At 44.3% G+C, this 15716-nt stretch overlaps 1 protein-coding gene and 1 long non-coding RNA gene across 12 annotated transcripts in view, besides 1 other annotated feature; both read right to left on the reverse strand.

Annotated features, from left to right (window-relative positions):
- The window catches only part of MGLL (monoglyceride lipase), a 134120-nt gene extending 131884 nt beyond the window's left edge, over positions 1-2236 (reverse strand). For 6 of the 10 annotated variants that reach the window (NM_001388316.1, NM_001003794.3, NM_001388313.1 and 3 more), the window contains exons 1-2: positions 2135-2236; positions 745-889 (exon numbers count right to left, since the gene is read on the reverse strand). In NM_001388316.1, coding sequence (NP_001375245.1) covers positions 745-869 — 125 coding nt within the window. In that variant the 5' untranslated portion in view covers positions 870-889; positions 2135-2236. Of the gene's footprint in view, positions 1-744; positions 890-1359; positions 1567-2134 lie in introns of those variants that run through there. The other 4 variants (NM_001256585.2, NM_007283.7, NM_001388312.1 and 1 more) reach the window with 1 other exon arrangement.
- Positions 2008-2527: a silencer, noted in NCBI's record as "silent region_14697". NCBI's record gives its function as "represses an Ori minimal core promoter by ATAC-STARR-seq in GM12878 lymphoblastoid cells {active_cell/tissue: GM12878}" and the evidence as "EXISTENCE:reporter gene assay evidence [ECO:0000049][PMID:35858748]".
- The window catches only part of LOC107986129 (uncharacterized), a 90956-nt gene continuing 86585 nt past the window's right edge, over positions 11346-15716 (reverse strand). For both annotated transcript variants that reach the window (XR_001740896.2, XR_001740898.2), the window contains one exon: positions 11346-12183. This is a non-coding gene — a long non-coding RNA (uncharacterized LOC107986129). The remainder of the gene's footprint in view (positions 12184-15716) is intronic.

The raw sequence follows: 15716 nt of genomic DNA on the forward strand, positions 1-15716 counted from the left end.
ACCACACAATGATCCCTAGGAGACAAGAGGCCTACAAAACAGGTAAAATGTCCCTGGAACAGGAAATGTTCTTGTCACCAGGCCAATTGGTTACCACAAATAAATTCTTTTTCCAAATAACACAAACAAGCAGGGTTTTCCTGCTTCATCCAAGAGGAGGGAGCAGCAGCAGGAGACCAGCTGTCTTGTGTATAGTCCCAATGTTTGCTTCTAATAGCAAGACAAATCCTTGATGGAAAATGTACAAAGTAATTGAGCTGGCAAGGAATCAGAAGGAAATACCCAGGCCCCTTTCTTCCTGGTGACACATGTATGCCATCTTCAGAAGCTCAGAAACAAGCAGGAAAAGTGAGCAAAGGTGAAGATATATGTATTACTTCGGGTTTCTCATCCATCTAGGGGATTTTCCTTAATTGTCGGGTTTGATTTTAAATGAATGCCTGTACAACCGGAAATCAACTCCAGTACAAAAAATAAAGTCATGTGGAATTTTTGAAAATTGCCATACGGTAGGATCCATATCTGAGTTGTTATAATGAAAAAAGAATTCCTGCTTCTTAAATTTAAAAATTATAAAGTATACATTTTAGCTTTGTTAACATTGCTCAGCCTAACATTAAAACGGCAGGGGAAGTAGGTCATAGAGAAAGCGGCCCCGCCCCAGATGGCACATGATAACGACCAGAGGAGAAGCAGGGGCCATGCTCCCCTGTCACCTGGGGTGACTTTCTGGGGAAGACTTACTTGGGTGTGCCTGTGGGTTTCCAGTACCTGCAGAAGAGGTACTGTCCGTCTGCATTGACCAGGTGAGGGAGGTCCTGGTAGGGAATGCTCTGCGGGGTCCGCCTGGGGGAACTTTCCTCTGGCATGCTGGAAGGGTCTTCAGGTCCTAGAAGGAAAAGTGACATATTCCAAAGTCAGAAATATCTCAAGAACATGTATGGATAGGAGAGAAAAGTCTAGTTCAGAGTCAGTAACATTTTTTTAAAAGCAGTTTAAAAAACCCCTCTGTTTCAAAGGTTTAAAACATACATACATTTCTTGCAAACCTCTCCAAGACTGAAAAATCCCATTTGTTCTTAAGAAAATGCTCACTTTATTTTTTAAGTGCCTCATTACAGTTTTTCCCCCTTCCCATCTGTGTTTATTTTAAATCATTTCAGGAAACTTCATCTTAAAGACTATTTTAGCTGTAATCAAGTGGAAATTATAGTCAGCTCTATGGGTACAAAGACCCAGCTGCAAGAAGACCCATCTATCTTAAAATCTCCAAGGAACAGTTTCAAGTGGGCACAATAATGAGGTGGATGATACTCAGATTATTCCTCCCATCTGAAATTCCAAGGATACATGACAAACCTGTTTCCATTATGTGCTGGCGTTTGCATTCCACAACCACGACAGCCTGGAGAATCAGAACCAGGCAAATCGGGCTGTTCCCTCATCTGGGCGGCCCCAAGGCAGCAGGAAGGCAGCTCCGAGCCCTCTTCCCGCACCCAGACCCTGCCTTTCGGGCTGGGGCGCTCAGCCGGGAGCCTGCTTCCAGCTCCCACCGGCAGGCTCTCCGGGGCTCCCCTCCCTCCCCAGGGCGGGGAGCGGCGCTGCGATTCTCCACTACTAGTTCATGTCATCACTTTTCCTAAACAAATCGCTAGAGGGGCTCGGAGAAGGGAGGGGCCCGGGAAACTGGGAAACTAGCTCCGCGCACACCGAGGCACCTCGCAGACGCACAAATGCGGGTGCCCAAGGCAAAGTCGCCCCCAAGGCTTCTCACAAACTTTGCTTCCTGTGCGTCTCCGACAGCACAGGACACGTAGCCCCGAAGCTGTCATCGGAAATGCCGCTGGGAAAACCGGGTGGGCTTCGCCGGGTGTCTGCACCGGGGAAGGTGGGGACTAGAAAGATGGAGTTGATGGGGACAAGTTGGTTTGGGGGCTGGTGCGAAGGAGCAGGGAGGGCGCGCGCGCGCGCACACGCGCGCACACTCGGACACGCGCGCACACACACCGTGCACACACACACACGCACACATGGGTAGCGGGAGCCCACGCCGGGCGTGTCCGGGACCCCAGTGCTGCTCCCCACCCCTGACGGCGGCACTGGCGGGCTGGGGCAGGGGCCGGGAGGCAGTTACCGGGGCCACGAGCGCCGCTGTCGCGTTCCCCGAGCGCAGCGGATCCTCGTTTGCGGCGGGCCAGGGCCGGGACGAGCTGCGCGCGACCGGCTTCGCGGCGACAGGGTGCGGCGTCTGCGCCGCCACTTTATCCCTGGGCCGGCTCGGCGGCGGGGGCGGCCCGAGGTGGGTGGGGACGCGCGGGACCCGGCGGGCGGCGGGCGGCGCGGGGAGGCGGCGCCCGGGGCCCACGTGTGCCCGGCCCGCGGGGAGGAGCGGGGGCGCCGCCCGCCGACCCAGCCACGCACTCCTCTCCTCCGCGCCTCGTGGACAGCCGCGCCCCGGGGTGGCCGCCCGAGGACTGTCAGGGAGGCCTGAACTGAGCTGGGTTCATGGGAGCCTCAGCGCGGGAGGACACACCACACCCACGGGCACACGCGCGCACACAGACCCACAGGCACCACACGTACACAGACAACTCGCGCAGGGCCGCACACTCACCACACGTGTACACATGTGCACTCCCAAAGTCACTACACTGCACGCAGGGACATACAGACACACATCCCAGAGATACCACATGCATACAGACACACACAGACCACACATGCATGCACACACACAAGCCGAGACATAGGCACAGACAACCCACAGAGACACAGAGGTGCACAGACATATGCAGACTATACACCTGGCCCCCACATAGACACAGACACACTCACATCATACACACACAGTCGCACACAGACACACTCACACTTCATTGCAGTCAGACACATACAATGCTGGAGGGGCAATTAACCGGTCGTGGTGGCATGCGCCTGTAGTCCCAGCTACTCAGGAGAATCGCTTGAACCCGGGAGGCAGAGGTTGCAGTGAGCCGATACCACACCATTGCACTTCAGCCTGGGTGACAGAGTGAGACTCCATCTCGGGGAAAAAAAAATGCTGGAGGGGGTCCACTTGACTCTAGGGTAGTGTAAAAGCAGATGGTGCATGGCTACAAATGCCTTGTCCCTTCCTGGCAATCCCCAGCAACTCTCCCGTTCCCAGCGGCTGTGACCCCCAGATAAAACCTCTGGTGCATCTACACAGGCCAGGGCACAGTCTGAGCTCTGTCCAGTATAACTAGCAACGTGGCCGTGGAGGGTAAGGCCACTGGACTGAGACTCCACACCACCTGGGTTGAACATTAGCTCCTCCGCTTGCTCTTTGAGCCTCAGTCTACCTACCTTCAACCTGTGAGTGATATACCTATGCCCCAGTGGAGTGTCCCTGTCTCACACTGACCTCAAGAGGCCTTCCTGTCTTTCTCCGCAAAAAATTCTACACCATAGCAGCGTTGAGGACTGTGTCTCAGCGTCACACTGTGTGTGTCCAAGGAGGCCCAAGTTGCTACAGAGCCTGTGGTCTAACTTGAGAAATAAAACAACAGCCTTTGAGCAGTGGCTTGAGTTGTAGGCACTGCTGAGCGTGACTTACCCACTGTCTGGCCTCCAGCAGGCCACGAGGCCTGGAGCAGAGGAGTGGCTAAGTGACTTCTGGTCGGGGCAGCTCTACAGAATCCATGCAAGAGAGGTTTAGGGGCGGCAGTCTCAGGGGCAGGAAGCTTGGGGGCTTCACTCAAAGCTGGACATGCTAAGTGCACCGGATTTCCGTTGGTTATAATTCATGGAAAGGAAGGGTGCTCGGGGGTCTGATGGACGCTTTTATCAAGGCATTATTTCAAATGTTCCTGGCTCTAACATTTTATGATTTAAAATACACAGCTTGAAAATTTGGAGGAGAGGCCGGGCTCAGTGGCTCACGCCTGTAATCCCAGTCCTTTGGGAGGCCAGGCAGGTGGATCATCTGAGGTCAGGAGCTGGAGACCAGCCTGACCAACATGGTGAAACCCCATCTCTACTAAAAATACAAAAATTAGCTGGGCATGGTAGCGGGCACCTGTAATCCCAGCTACTCGGGAGGCTGAGGCAGGAGAATCGCTTGAACCCGGGAGACAGAGGTTGCAGTGATTGCACTCCAGCCTGAGCGACAGAGCAAGGCTCTGTCTCAAAAAAAAAAAAAAAAAAAAAAAGCTTTGAGGAGAGACTTCACTGAAGTTGTCAGAGGGATCTCAGTAGAAGTGACATTTGCAAACTTGAAGAGATCCCCCAAACTTGGTTATGGACAGAACTGAGACTGTGGTGTGTGGCCAGCCAACTGGGAATTTGGGAGTTAAGAGACAGATCGTATTGTTCTGTATCTGGCTTTTTCTTTTAATTAAACTTATTCTGAGATAATTGTAGATTCGCATGCAGTTGTAACAAATAATAAAGAGAGATGCTATGTGCCCTTTACTCAGTTTCCTGCAATGGCAACTTCTCACAAACCACAGTAAATATCACAACAGGATACTGACACTGATAGAATATCTGTAGTCAAGCTACAGAACGTCTCTACCCCACAAAGTGGTATGCTTTTATAGCCACATCCACTTCCCTCTCATCCTCACTCCCCTAGAACCCCTGGCAACTGCTAATTTGTTCTCCATTTCTAAAATTTTGTCATTTCAAGGATATTTTATGAATAGAATCATAAAGTACATAACCTCTAGGATTCACCTTTTCATTCAGCATAATTCCAGGTGGGTTGGGTGTAGCAGTCCACAGTATGGAAGTACCACAGTGTGTCTAACAGGTCATCTGCTGAAGGATATCTGCGTTGTTTCCAGTGTTTGTTGATTAAGAATAAAGCTGCTGTAAACCTCCGTGTACATGTTTTTGTGTGAACCTAAGTCTTCATTCTCTGAGATGAGGGCCCAGGAGTGCAATTGCTGAGCTGTAGGGAAATTGCAAGTTTTTAAAGAGAATGCCAAAATGTTTTCCAGAGTGACTGTAGCATTTTACATTCCTACCAGCAGTGTAGGAGAGAACCAGTCTCTCAGCATTCATGTCAGCATGTAGTGTTGTCACCATTTTAAAAATTTTAGTCTTTCTGTTAAGTGTGTAGTGATGATATTTCACTGTGGTTTTTAATTTGCTTTTGCCTAATGGCTAATGTTGTTTCATGTGCGTATTTGCCATCTATATATCCCATTCAGTAAAATGTCTTTTCTTGTCTTTCGGCTATTTTCTTGCCCCCCACCCCCCTTTTTTTTTTTTTTTTTTTGAGACTGAGCCTCACTCTGTAGCCCAAGCTGAAGTGCAGTGGCGCCATCTTGTTTCATTGCAACCTCCACCTCCCAGGCTCAAACAATTCTCATGCCTCAGCCTCCCTAGTAGCTGGGACTACAGGTGCAGGCCACCACACCTGGCTAACTTTTTGTATTTTAGTAGAGACGGGGTTTCATCATGTTGCCCAGGGTGGTCTCAAATTCCTGAGCTCAGGCGATCTGACCGGCCTCAGCCTCCCAAAGTGCTGGAATTACAGGCATGAGCCACCACGCCCATCCTTTAGGCTATTTTCTTTCTTTCTTTTCTTTTCTTTTTTCTTTTTTTTGAGACAGGGTCTCGTTCTGTCACCCAGTCTGGAGTGCGTTGGTACGATCTCCGTTCATTGCAGCCTTTGGCTATTTTTTAATTGTTTGCTTGTTGTTTTCTTACTGTTGAGTTTTGAGAGTTCTTGGTATATTCTAGACATTAGTCTACTAGATACTAGATGTGTGATTGCAAATATTTTCTTCCAGTCTGTAGCTTGTCTTTTAATCCTTTTAACAAGGTCTTTTGCAGAGCAAAAGTTTTCATTTTGATCAGAAACAATTTATCAATTTTTTGTTTTATGGATTATGCATTTGGTGTCAAGTCTAAGAACTCTGTGTAGTCCTACCTCAAGAGATTTTCTCCTGTGTTTTTCTCTAAAAGTTGTATAGATTTACATTTTATGCTTAAGTCTGTAAGCTATTTTGAGTTACTTTTTGTCTGGAGTGTGAGATTTAGATCAAGGTTCATTTGTCTCTACATGTCCCATTGCTCCAGCACAGTTTGTTGAAAAGGCTGCCTTTCCTCCACTGAATTGCTTTTGCACTTTTGTAAAATTCAGCTGCCTGCTTGTACAGGTCTATTTCTGGGTTCTCTCTTTTGTTTCTTTGGTCTGTGTCTATTCCTCCACCAATACCACACAGTCTTGATTATTGAAGTTCTCTATAAATCTTGAAATTGAATAGGCTGGTTCCTCTCACTTTATTCTTCATTTACAAGACTTTTTTTTTTTTTTTTTTTTTTTTTTTTTTTTGGTAGAGAAGGAATCTCTCCATGTTGCCCAGGCTGGTCTTGAACTCCCGGCCTTAAGCCACCCTCCCACTGTGACCTCCCAATGCACTGGGATTACAAATGTGAGCTACCACACTCAGTCTACAAGATTCTTTGAACGATTCTAGTTCCTTCACCTTTCAATATAAATTTTAAAATAACCTTGTTTATATTCATTAAAAATTTTGCTGGGATTATGATAGGAATTGCATTAAACATGTATATTCTTCGAGAACTGACATTTTTACTATTAAGTCTTCCAATCCATGAACATGGGTATATATGTCCATTTATTTAGTTGTTCTTTGATTCCTTCATAAATGTTGTATAGTTTTCAGCATACAAGTTCTATACACATTTGGTCAAATTTATACCTTTTTTAAAATAAGTAATTATAAATGTTAGGTATATTTAATTTCAGTTTCCACATGTTAATTTGTAGCATATAGAGGTAAAATTGATTTTTGTATGTTGATCTTGTATCCTGTAATCTTGTTGAACTCACTTATTAAATACAGATATAGGGTTCTTTTTTTTGGCATCTATTGTCTTCTGTAATCCAGGAGGGTTTGGGTTTTTGGTGTTTGGCTTTGTTTGTAGCTTACTTGGGGTTTTCTACATAGACCATCATTATATTTGAAGGGAGTTTCTTGTAGACAACATATACTTATATCATTTTAAAAAATCCATTCTGCCAATGTCTGTTTTTTAGTTGGTATATTTAGACCATTTACATTTAATGTAATTATCATATTGTTATGGTTTAAGTCTGCCATTTTATTTTTATTTCGGTTCTCTCATTTATTTTTTCTTTTTCTTTTCTTCTTCTAGGTTACTTGCACAGGAACTTTTTCTTGTTTTGTTTGGTTTGGTTTGGTTTTGAGATGGAGTCTCGCTCTGTTGCCCAGGCTGGAGTGCAATGGTGCCATCTTGGCTAACTGCAACCTCCGTCTCCCAGATTCAAGCAATTCTCCTCTCTCAGCCTCCCAAGTCTGGCTAATTTTTGTATTTTTAGTAGAGATGGAGTTTCACTATATTGATCAGGGTGGTCTCGAACTCCTGACCTCAGGTGATCCACCTGCCTTGGCCTCTCAAAGTGCTGGGATTACAGGCATGAGCCACCAGGCCCAGCCTGTTTTATTTTGTTTTTGAGACAGGGTCTCACTCTGTTGCACATACTGGAGTGCTGTGATGCAATCACAGCTCACTGCAGCCTCAACTTTCTAGATTAAGTCATCCTTCCACCTCAGCCTCCTGAGTAGCTGGTACTACAGATGTGTACCACTGTGCCCAGCTAATTTTTTTTTTCTTGGCAAAGATAGGGTTTCACTATGTTGCCCTGGCTAGTCTCAAACTCCTAGGCTCTGAGCCTGCCTGCCTTGGCCTACCAAAGTGCTGGATAATTATAGGCATGAGCCACCAGGCCTGGCCAGGAACATTTTTAAATTCCAGTTTTATTTATTTATACTGTGTTTGAGTGAATCTCTTTGTATAGACTTTTTAGTGGTTGCTCTATGTACTGCATTTTATGTATCACAGCTTACTGATGCCACTTTACTAGTTCTTATGCAATATAAAAACCTAACATCTTCTTATGTCCCTTTACTCTGCACCATTTATACTCTAATTGCCTTAACTATTTTCTCTACATACTCTGAGATTCACATCAGATAGTATTAAAATTTTTGCTTCAATCATCAAATATAATTTAGAAAAGAGGAGAATAAAAGTCTATTTTATTTGCCCATAGTTTTGTTCACTGTGTTCTTTCTTCATGATAGTACAAGGTTTCTTCTTTTATCATTTCTTTTTGGTTTAGATATATTCCTTTAGCCATTCTTTGAGGATGGGTCTGCTGGCAACATTTTCTTAGTTTTGCTTTATCTGAGAATGTCTTGATTCCCCTTCATTCCTGAAGGATATTTTCACTACATAAAGAATTCTGGATTAAAAATTATTTTCTTTCAGCATTTGAAAAATATCATACCATTACATTCTGGCCTTAATGCTATCTGATAAGATATCCATTGTCATTCAAATTTTTTTTCCTTATAAGGAAATTACCTATAGGTAACATGTAATTTATCTTTCCCTGCTGTCAAGATTTTTTTCTTTGTCTTTAGTTTTCAGAAGTTTGACTATGATGTTTCTTGGTATGGGTTTCTTTGGGTATATTTTATTTGGAATTCATTCAGCTTTTTTATTTATAGTTTTTTTTTGTCTCCTGCCAAATTTGAGACATTTTCAGCCATTACTTATTTGAGTACTTTTTCAGCCTCATCCTCTTTTCTCTTCTCCTTTTGGACTCTGATGACATGAATATTTGAGCTTTTCTTATAGTTCCGTAGGTCCCTGAAGGCTCTGTTCATTTTGGTTTTTTTTTTGTGGGTTTTTTTTTTAAGCCTATTTTCTCTCTGTTATTCAGATGAGTCATTTCTATTGTCCTATGTTCCAGCTTATTGCACTGTTCCCTCTATTTCACCTTTGAGCTCATCCATTGAGCTTTTTATTTCAGTTATTGTATTTTTCAACTCTAAAATTTCCATTTGGTTCTTCTTTATATCTTCTATTTCTTTGCTAAGAATTTCTATCCCTTTGCCAAGACTTTTTATTTTTCATTTGTTTCAGGCATGTTTATAATTGCCTGTTGGAGAACTTTTATTGTGACTGCTTTAAAAATCTGTTTGTTTTCCTGTTGGTATATATTGTCTTCTCTAATCCAGTGTTAGATCTTTCTGGTTCTTGATAAGATAAATGATTTTCTATTGAAACTTGGTCATTTTTGTATTATGTCATCAGACTCTGGATCTGATTTAAACCTTTTGTTTTACCTGTGTTTCTCTAGAGTCACAAATGTATAAGGCAAAACAAAAAACCCAGGGAACTCACCACCATGTTGTTCCTCAGGTCCTGAGGTCCCCAGCAGGTTTGCCTTTTATCTCTTCCTTTCAGCATCCTCTTACGTTGGTTGTATACATAATGTCCAGGGTTTTTAGTCATATTTAGTGGGAAAAGTAGGGAAAAGCACATCCACTCCACCTTTGCAGATGTAGAAGTCTTGTATCTGGCTTTTTATTTCAGTAGGGAAATCAGTGGGCCACCAGGCCCCTACTTGCCTGTGTGTCCACCTAGATCTCTAGGGCAGGATTATTCTAGATGCAGTGATCTCCAAGACAAGTGCTGGTTGTCAGGCTCTGCTCCTACAGCCTGCGATGAAAAGGTAAGGGTTGCAATTCAAGTAAAGGTGACGTCTTTCTGCCCCTACAAGTTGATATGGTTTGGATCTGTGTCCCCACCAAACCTCATTTTGAACTGTAATCCCCAATGTTGAAGGTGGGGCCTGGTGGGAGGTGAATGCATCATGGGAATGGATTTCTCATGAATGGTTTAGTGCCATCCCCCTTGGTATTGTCTTGGTAATAGTGAGTGAGTTCTCGTGAGATCTGGTTGTTTAAAAGTGTGTAGCACCTTTCCCTCTCTCTCTTGTTCCTACTCTGGCTGTGTAGGACGTGCCTGCTTTCCTTTCACATTTTGCCATGATTGAAAGTTTCCTGAGGCCTCCCAGAAGCAGAAGCCACTATGCTTCCTGTATAGCCTGCAGAATCATGAGCCAATTAAACCTTTTTTCTTTATAAATTACCCAGTCTCAGGTATTTCTTTATAGCAGCATGAGAATGGGCTAAAACACAAATGTTCTTGTGTGGCCTTCAGAGATGCTCTGAGGTTTGAGGAGAGTAGAACATACTGGAAATACCTGTGAAGAGAAAAGGAGAAAGAGCAAGCCGGGAGATAGTAAGAAGACCAAGAGTTTCTCTTATTAGCAGTTTTAGTGTATGTGATATTGCACAAGAATTTGGGTGGTTGTATACTTCAATTATAAACCACTTCTAATGGGAAAGGAGTGGAGGTTGGGAATGGAAATGGTACTGAAAATGAATGATAGAGGAAAAGCAAGACTGTACTATCAAACTTAAGGGGAAATAAAGTTGGGCAAAAATACCTAAGCCTCAGAAGCAAGCTCCACTGACTAGTGGTGCTACTTCCTGGTGAGTTACTCTATTTTGCTAAGCCTGCCTCCTCACCTGAAACAGGGGAATGTGGATAGGAATACCCCCTCTAGGGCCTTGGTTAAGATGGACTGAACATCAGCATGGTGCCTGGTGGCTAGTCAGCTTGTATTAAGTCAGGGGTGGCAGCTTGGGGGCCTTCATGTTAAGTCTGACCCATTAAAAAGTATTTCTATATCTGAAATGGTTTTTTTAATGTGAGTTTTAAAAATTGGTGATTTCACATGCAAATCCAGATTCCTAGCTTTTCTCAAAGAGCAGAGGGATATGGTTACACTGGACTGTTAGTGTTGGATGATGGGTTGAGCATGAGGTGCCTGCAGGGGCAGATGGATTTGAGGATCTAGAGCTGAAGAAGAAGGTCAGACCGGAGACAGAGATGTGGGTGTTGGCCGGAAATGGCCCTTGCAGCTGTGGGGGAGAGTGTGCTGACCCAGGAGAGTGGGCAGGTAGAGGTGTGACCTGGCAGCCTGCATACTGCACCTGGTCAGCAGGAGATTTGACCTGCACAGTGCTTTATTGATATTTGGTTGAATTAGTAGCCAATTTCTGAAAATCAGGGCATTTCACATAGCAATGCTGGTTGTGTAAAAGGCCAAAGGTCTGGCAATATGGGCTTCCATCTGGGCGGGCAGCAGCCTGCACTGAGGCTGGGGGGAGGCTGCCCCCTGCAGGTGGTGCATGCATTTGCCTATCGGCCCACTCTGCCTGGCCCACCTCCAAAAATGCTAACTCTCAGATTTCTGATTTATTTTACTGGGTGGAGCTTTTCTGAATTGTGAAACATGAAGGAAGAAGGGGAGGTTTTGATGGTGATGGGCAGAAGCATGATGTCCAATTCATTCAAGGCTTTCTGAGTTCTCCTTGGAACAGCTAAGTGGAGAGGCCTGATTGCCAATGGAAGATGCAGTAGGATGCTCAAGATGGAGACGAAGGTTTGGAAGCCGTCGGCCATTTATTATCACTGAAATCATGGGAGTGAATTCAATTGCTCAGGGGATGTAGACTGGAAGGATAAGCAGGCCTAGGAGAGATCATCGTGAAGAGGAGAAGAGTTTGCAAAGGTGATAGAGACAGAGGTGGATGATCCAGAAGGTGTGATTGCAGAGAATCCAAAGTTGCATCATATTCCAAGAAGAATATGTGGCCAAAAGAGTCTAATAGCTCCCAGCAGTCAAGCAAAAGACAAACTGAGAAATGTGCAATTGACTTAATGACAAGGTCATTTTTGACCCTGGAGAGAACCCAGTTCATGGATTAATCAGGGTAGAGGCCAGCTTGTGCTTATGTATGAAGTGAGTGGACAATAAGTGGAGACAGCAAGTGTAGATAACCCTTTCAAGATATCTTCTGTGCAGAAAAGGCAAGAGTGCAGTGGCAAGGACTATGGGCATTTGAGGCAGACAGCCTGGGTTCAATTACCAGCTCGGCTAATGTTTAACTACATGATCTTGGGCATGTGACTTACCCTCTTTATATCTATATGAAACAATGGGAATTAAGATTATTGCCTATTTCATGGGACTGAATGGAATAACGTTGGTCAAGTACTTAGCACAATGCCTGGCACTTGGTAAGAAGAGTGCAATAAAATTTCATTACTATTAATTTAAGTGATAGATGCGTGTGTTAAAAATTCAAATGAGAATCAAAATGTTAACAGTGAATTGTGAGTCTCCATCCCATCCCTGTGCCTTGGTTCCTGTCCCAGGTTCTGTGTGGCCTTCCAGAGATCCTCTGAGGGTTGAGGAGAGTGGGACTTCACTGGAAATACCTGTGAAGAGAAAGGGAGAAAGAGCAAGCTAGGAGACAATAAGATGCAAAGGCATCAGGGGAATGAAAGTAACTGGCTTCCCGGGGACTCCAGTAGCCAGGCTGCTTAAAGAGGCAAGACACAAACTGGAGAGTCTGGGAGTTAAGGACAGAGCTTGAGAAACATCTCCTCAGTAAGGGTGGAGATTTGTTGCATCAGTGGCCCCAGTAAATGGCCTGCTTGTTCCCATGCTCTTTGCACTGACTTGGAAGCTCTTCCCATCGAGAGGTGAAGTCTAGTTCCAATACCTTGAATCTGCATTGGCCTTGACTTGTTCTGGCCAACAGGGTGTGGTGGGAATGGCACTGTGCCAGTTCTTCTTGATGTAAGGCATCAAGAAGCCTTACATGCTCACTCTTTCTTCACTCACCCCAACCCTTTCCTTTGTCATGTAAACCAGCCTGGACTAGCTTGATGGAGTGATGAGGCCCATGGAGGAAGCCAAGGCTCTCTACCAGACAAGCAACCAATCCCCAGAAGCAGATCTGCCCTTGTGACCTGCAGCTACCCACAGATGCATAAGGGTGCCCAGCAGAGACCAAAAGAACCACCTTGGCTGAGCCCAGCCCATGTTGCTGCCCCACAGAATGATGAGATAAATGTTTGTTGTTTTAAGCTCTTAAGTGTTGGGGTGACTTGTTATGCAGCAGTTGCTAGCTGATGCAGCAAGTTGTGCATTGCATTTGCCATCTCACACATTAGAGTTATCCCATCTCTACAATCACTGTGGGACCTGGGAGGTGGAATTCAACAGTTCTAAATCAAAAAATGTTTAAAATTACTGAAAATTTGGATGGAGGAAGAAAAGGGAAAGAAAAAGCACTTTGCACGATATATAATATCTACAAGATATGTTTACACGTGACAGAACAATCAAATTAATCAAATAGGATGTACTCAGTGCTATAACTAGAAATCATAAATATCCTTAATGTTGGTATGGCAGGGTTTATTGACTCCATTATTCTACCTTGTTGAAGTGTGTAGAAAAATTTTCCCCAAATCGTTTCCACCTTGGCACCCTTTAGCAATTTTTCCATGAAGTCTTAAATTCTTTCTGCATAGGAGATTTGGGGCCATTAACGAGCATGGTTGAGAAAGGAACTATGGTCATTAGAGGCCCCCAGACAGCTAGGTATTAAATGTGAATATAAGCTCTTAAACAATGTGTGTGGGTGCAGAAAAGCTCATTTTCTCCCGTTGAATGCTCCTGAGAGTCGACTTGGCCATCAATTTCTTCTTCCATGAGGACACAGTTGTAGATGTCATTGGAAGGGCAGGTGTGGCAGTCAAAGGCACTCTCCTGCCTTTCTTTGACCACTAAAGGTCATGTGGGAAAAACCAAACAGAACATTTTGAATATTTTTAGTGTAGTTCCTGCAGAAATTGCATCAATGGGAATCAAAATAGGGAAGTAAATTAACAGGTGCCCATGCCAATAATGCCCTTATCATCCTATGGGGTCAGCACTAGCATGAATTTTACAGCTGAGGAAACTGCACAGCAAAGAAGTTCCTTTGCTTGCCAATTGCCCTACGAGGAAATGGCAGAACAAGTCTGTGAACCCGATCCGTCCACCTCCCATACTTTCTCCATTGTAGGGCGACGTTATTGTGTGGGAAGTGTCCATTTTCTATTTAAAGAAAGCTTTCAAAATAAATGAAGTTTAAAACATGGGTTGATTTAAAGAAAGGTATTACATAAATAACAGAGCTTGTGGGTCATAGATGTGACAAAGCCATCATGTAAGTAGCGTGGCCTTGCCGAGGCTGGAGACACACAGGGAGGAGCCCAGGAGGGAGAGCTGGGTGTGGCCCCCACTCTGCCTGTGACCTGCCTACAGCCCCTCCTGGCTGAGGTGCCCTCCACATCAACATGATTTTTCACTTCTGGGCTTCAGCTTCCTGTGGGTCAAGATAAAGCTTGGCCCAGATGGTCTCCAAGGGTCCTCCCAGCTCTTAGAAACAGTCTTGCTGTGAACAGCTATTTTTTGCTCTGTATTTAAAAGCACAAGGGCCAGGCCTATTGGGAAAGGCCATTAAGTACAATCAAATCTACCAAGATGAAAATATAGGTTCCCGCCCACATGCCATCTTCTTTAAATGCATTTGGCAAGTCCAGAATGTCAGCAATTAGTAACCGGGCCCAAGCACGGTAATAAGATTTGGACTCACCAGTGAAGGAGAAATTCTTCCCCTGACTAATCTGGTTAGTGAAGCAGTTCAAAGTTGCACACGCTGAAAAATGTTCCACTAAGGTCATTATAAGTACAAATAAAGTAGACTCTGCTCGCAAATAAAAGTGGTGGGTCACACATGTGTATCTTCCTACGTTATTTTTTGAAAAAAGTTTTTTTAGACTTCTTTTGAAATAGATGCCCTTGACCTCATACTAAAGTTTCACCATCAAAGGCAAATGAGGTGGTAGTTATGTTTAGGTGGGGAAAGTCCAGTGAAGGGTTGGGTAACTGCAGAAACTGCTACATATGTATAGATATTTCCAGGTAATTTAGGCAAGGTTGTTGGGGAGGGAAGCAAACTACACAGCCTTTCTAAACAACAGCATTTGTGTGTGTGTGTGTGTGTGTGTGTGTGTGTGTGTGTGTTGGGCGGGGGTGGGTGGGTGTTCTGTTTTTTAATTGACTACTTTGAGTCAGAGAAGCTACACGGTGTGTACTGGTTAAGGGTACTGACCCTAGGAGCTGAAACACTTCTTGGACTTACAAGCTCTGTGGCCTGGAACAAGTTACTTAGCCTTTTTGCACCTCAGTTTCCTCATCAGTAAAATGGAGGTAATAAGAGTATATAATTCACATAATTATCGTGAAGGTTAAATGAATGAACATATTAAAGTGCTTACAGCAATACTTGCCATAGAGTAAATACTTTATGTGTGAACTATATTCTTATCTGTGAAACAGTGTCACCTCTCCCTCTAAACTGCTTTGGAAACACCACGTACCTGATAACACGTATCTTACAAAGCCAAGCTACCTTATGCAATGCTAAGTGCACATTCCCTTGTGTATTAAGCAAAACTGGAAAGCCTTGGGGGGAACTTTATAGCTGGAAGGTGTCCGAGACATCATCTAGTCTTAAAGTGTCATTTTGTAGACAAAGCAATTGAGACAAGAGAGGTGAGGTGATTTGTCCAGAGTTATGGAGCAACTTGTAACCTGGCAGCCAAATCCAGATGAGAACAAGGGTACTATTTACATCACCGCCATTCATTCCCAATGGATTCTTAGTGTTTCAGGTATGAAAAGAAATTAGAAACCAGGAATTAGGATGCTTGGGATCTCTCACTCACACTCTGCCACAAGCCTCTCTCCTAGCCTTCAAATCTGTAGCAGGTCTATGTGAACATTTGTTTTCTTTGTTTTTGAAACACTAGGCAATGCTCTTTCTTTTCTAACCACAGTTGTACTTCCTTTTAGTGAACTCTACATCGCTGCATGTTCCTGGGGCAACTGTCAATCAAAGTGACTCCCTCAG

The sequence above is a fragment of the Homo sapiens genome, chromosome 3 (genome assembly GCF_000001405.40).
Source record: "Homo sapiens chromosome 3, GRCh38.p14 Primary Assembly".
In the NCBI taxonomy this organism is placed as follows: domain Eukaryota; kingdom Metazoa; phylum Chordata; class Mammalia; order Primates; family Hominidae; genus Homo; species Homo sapiens.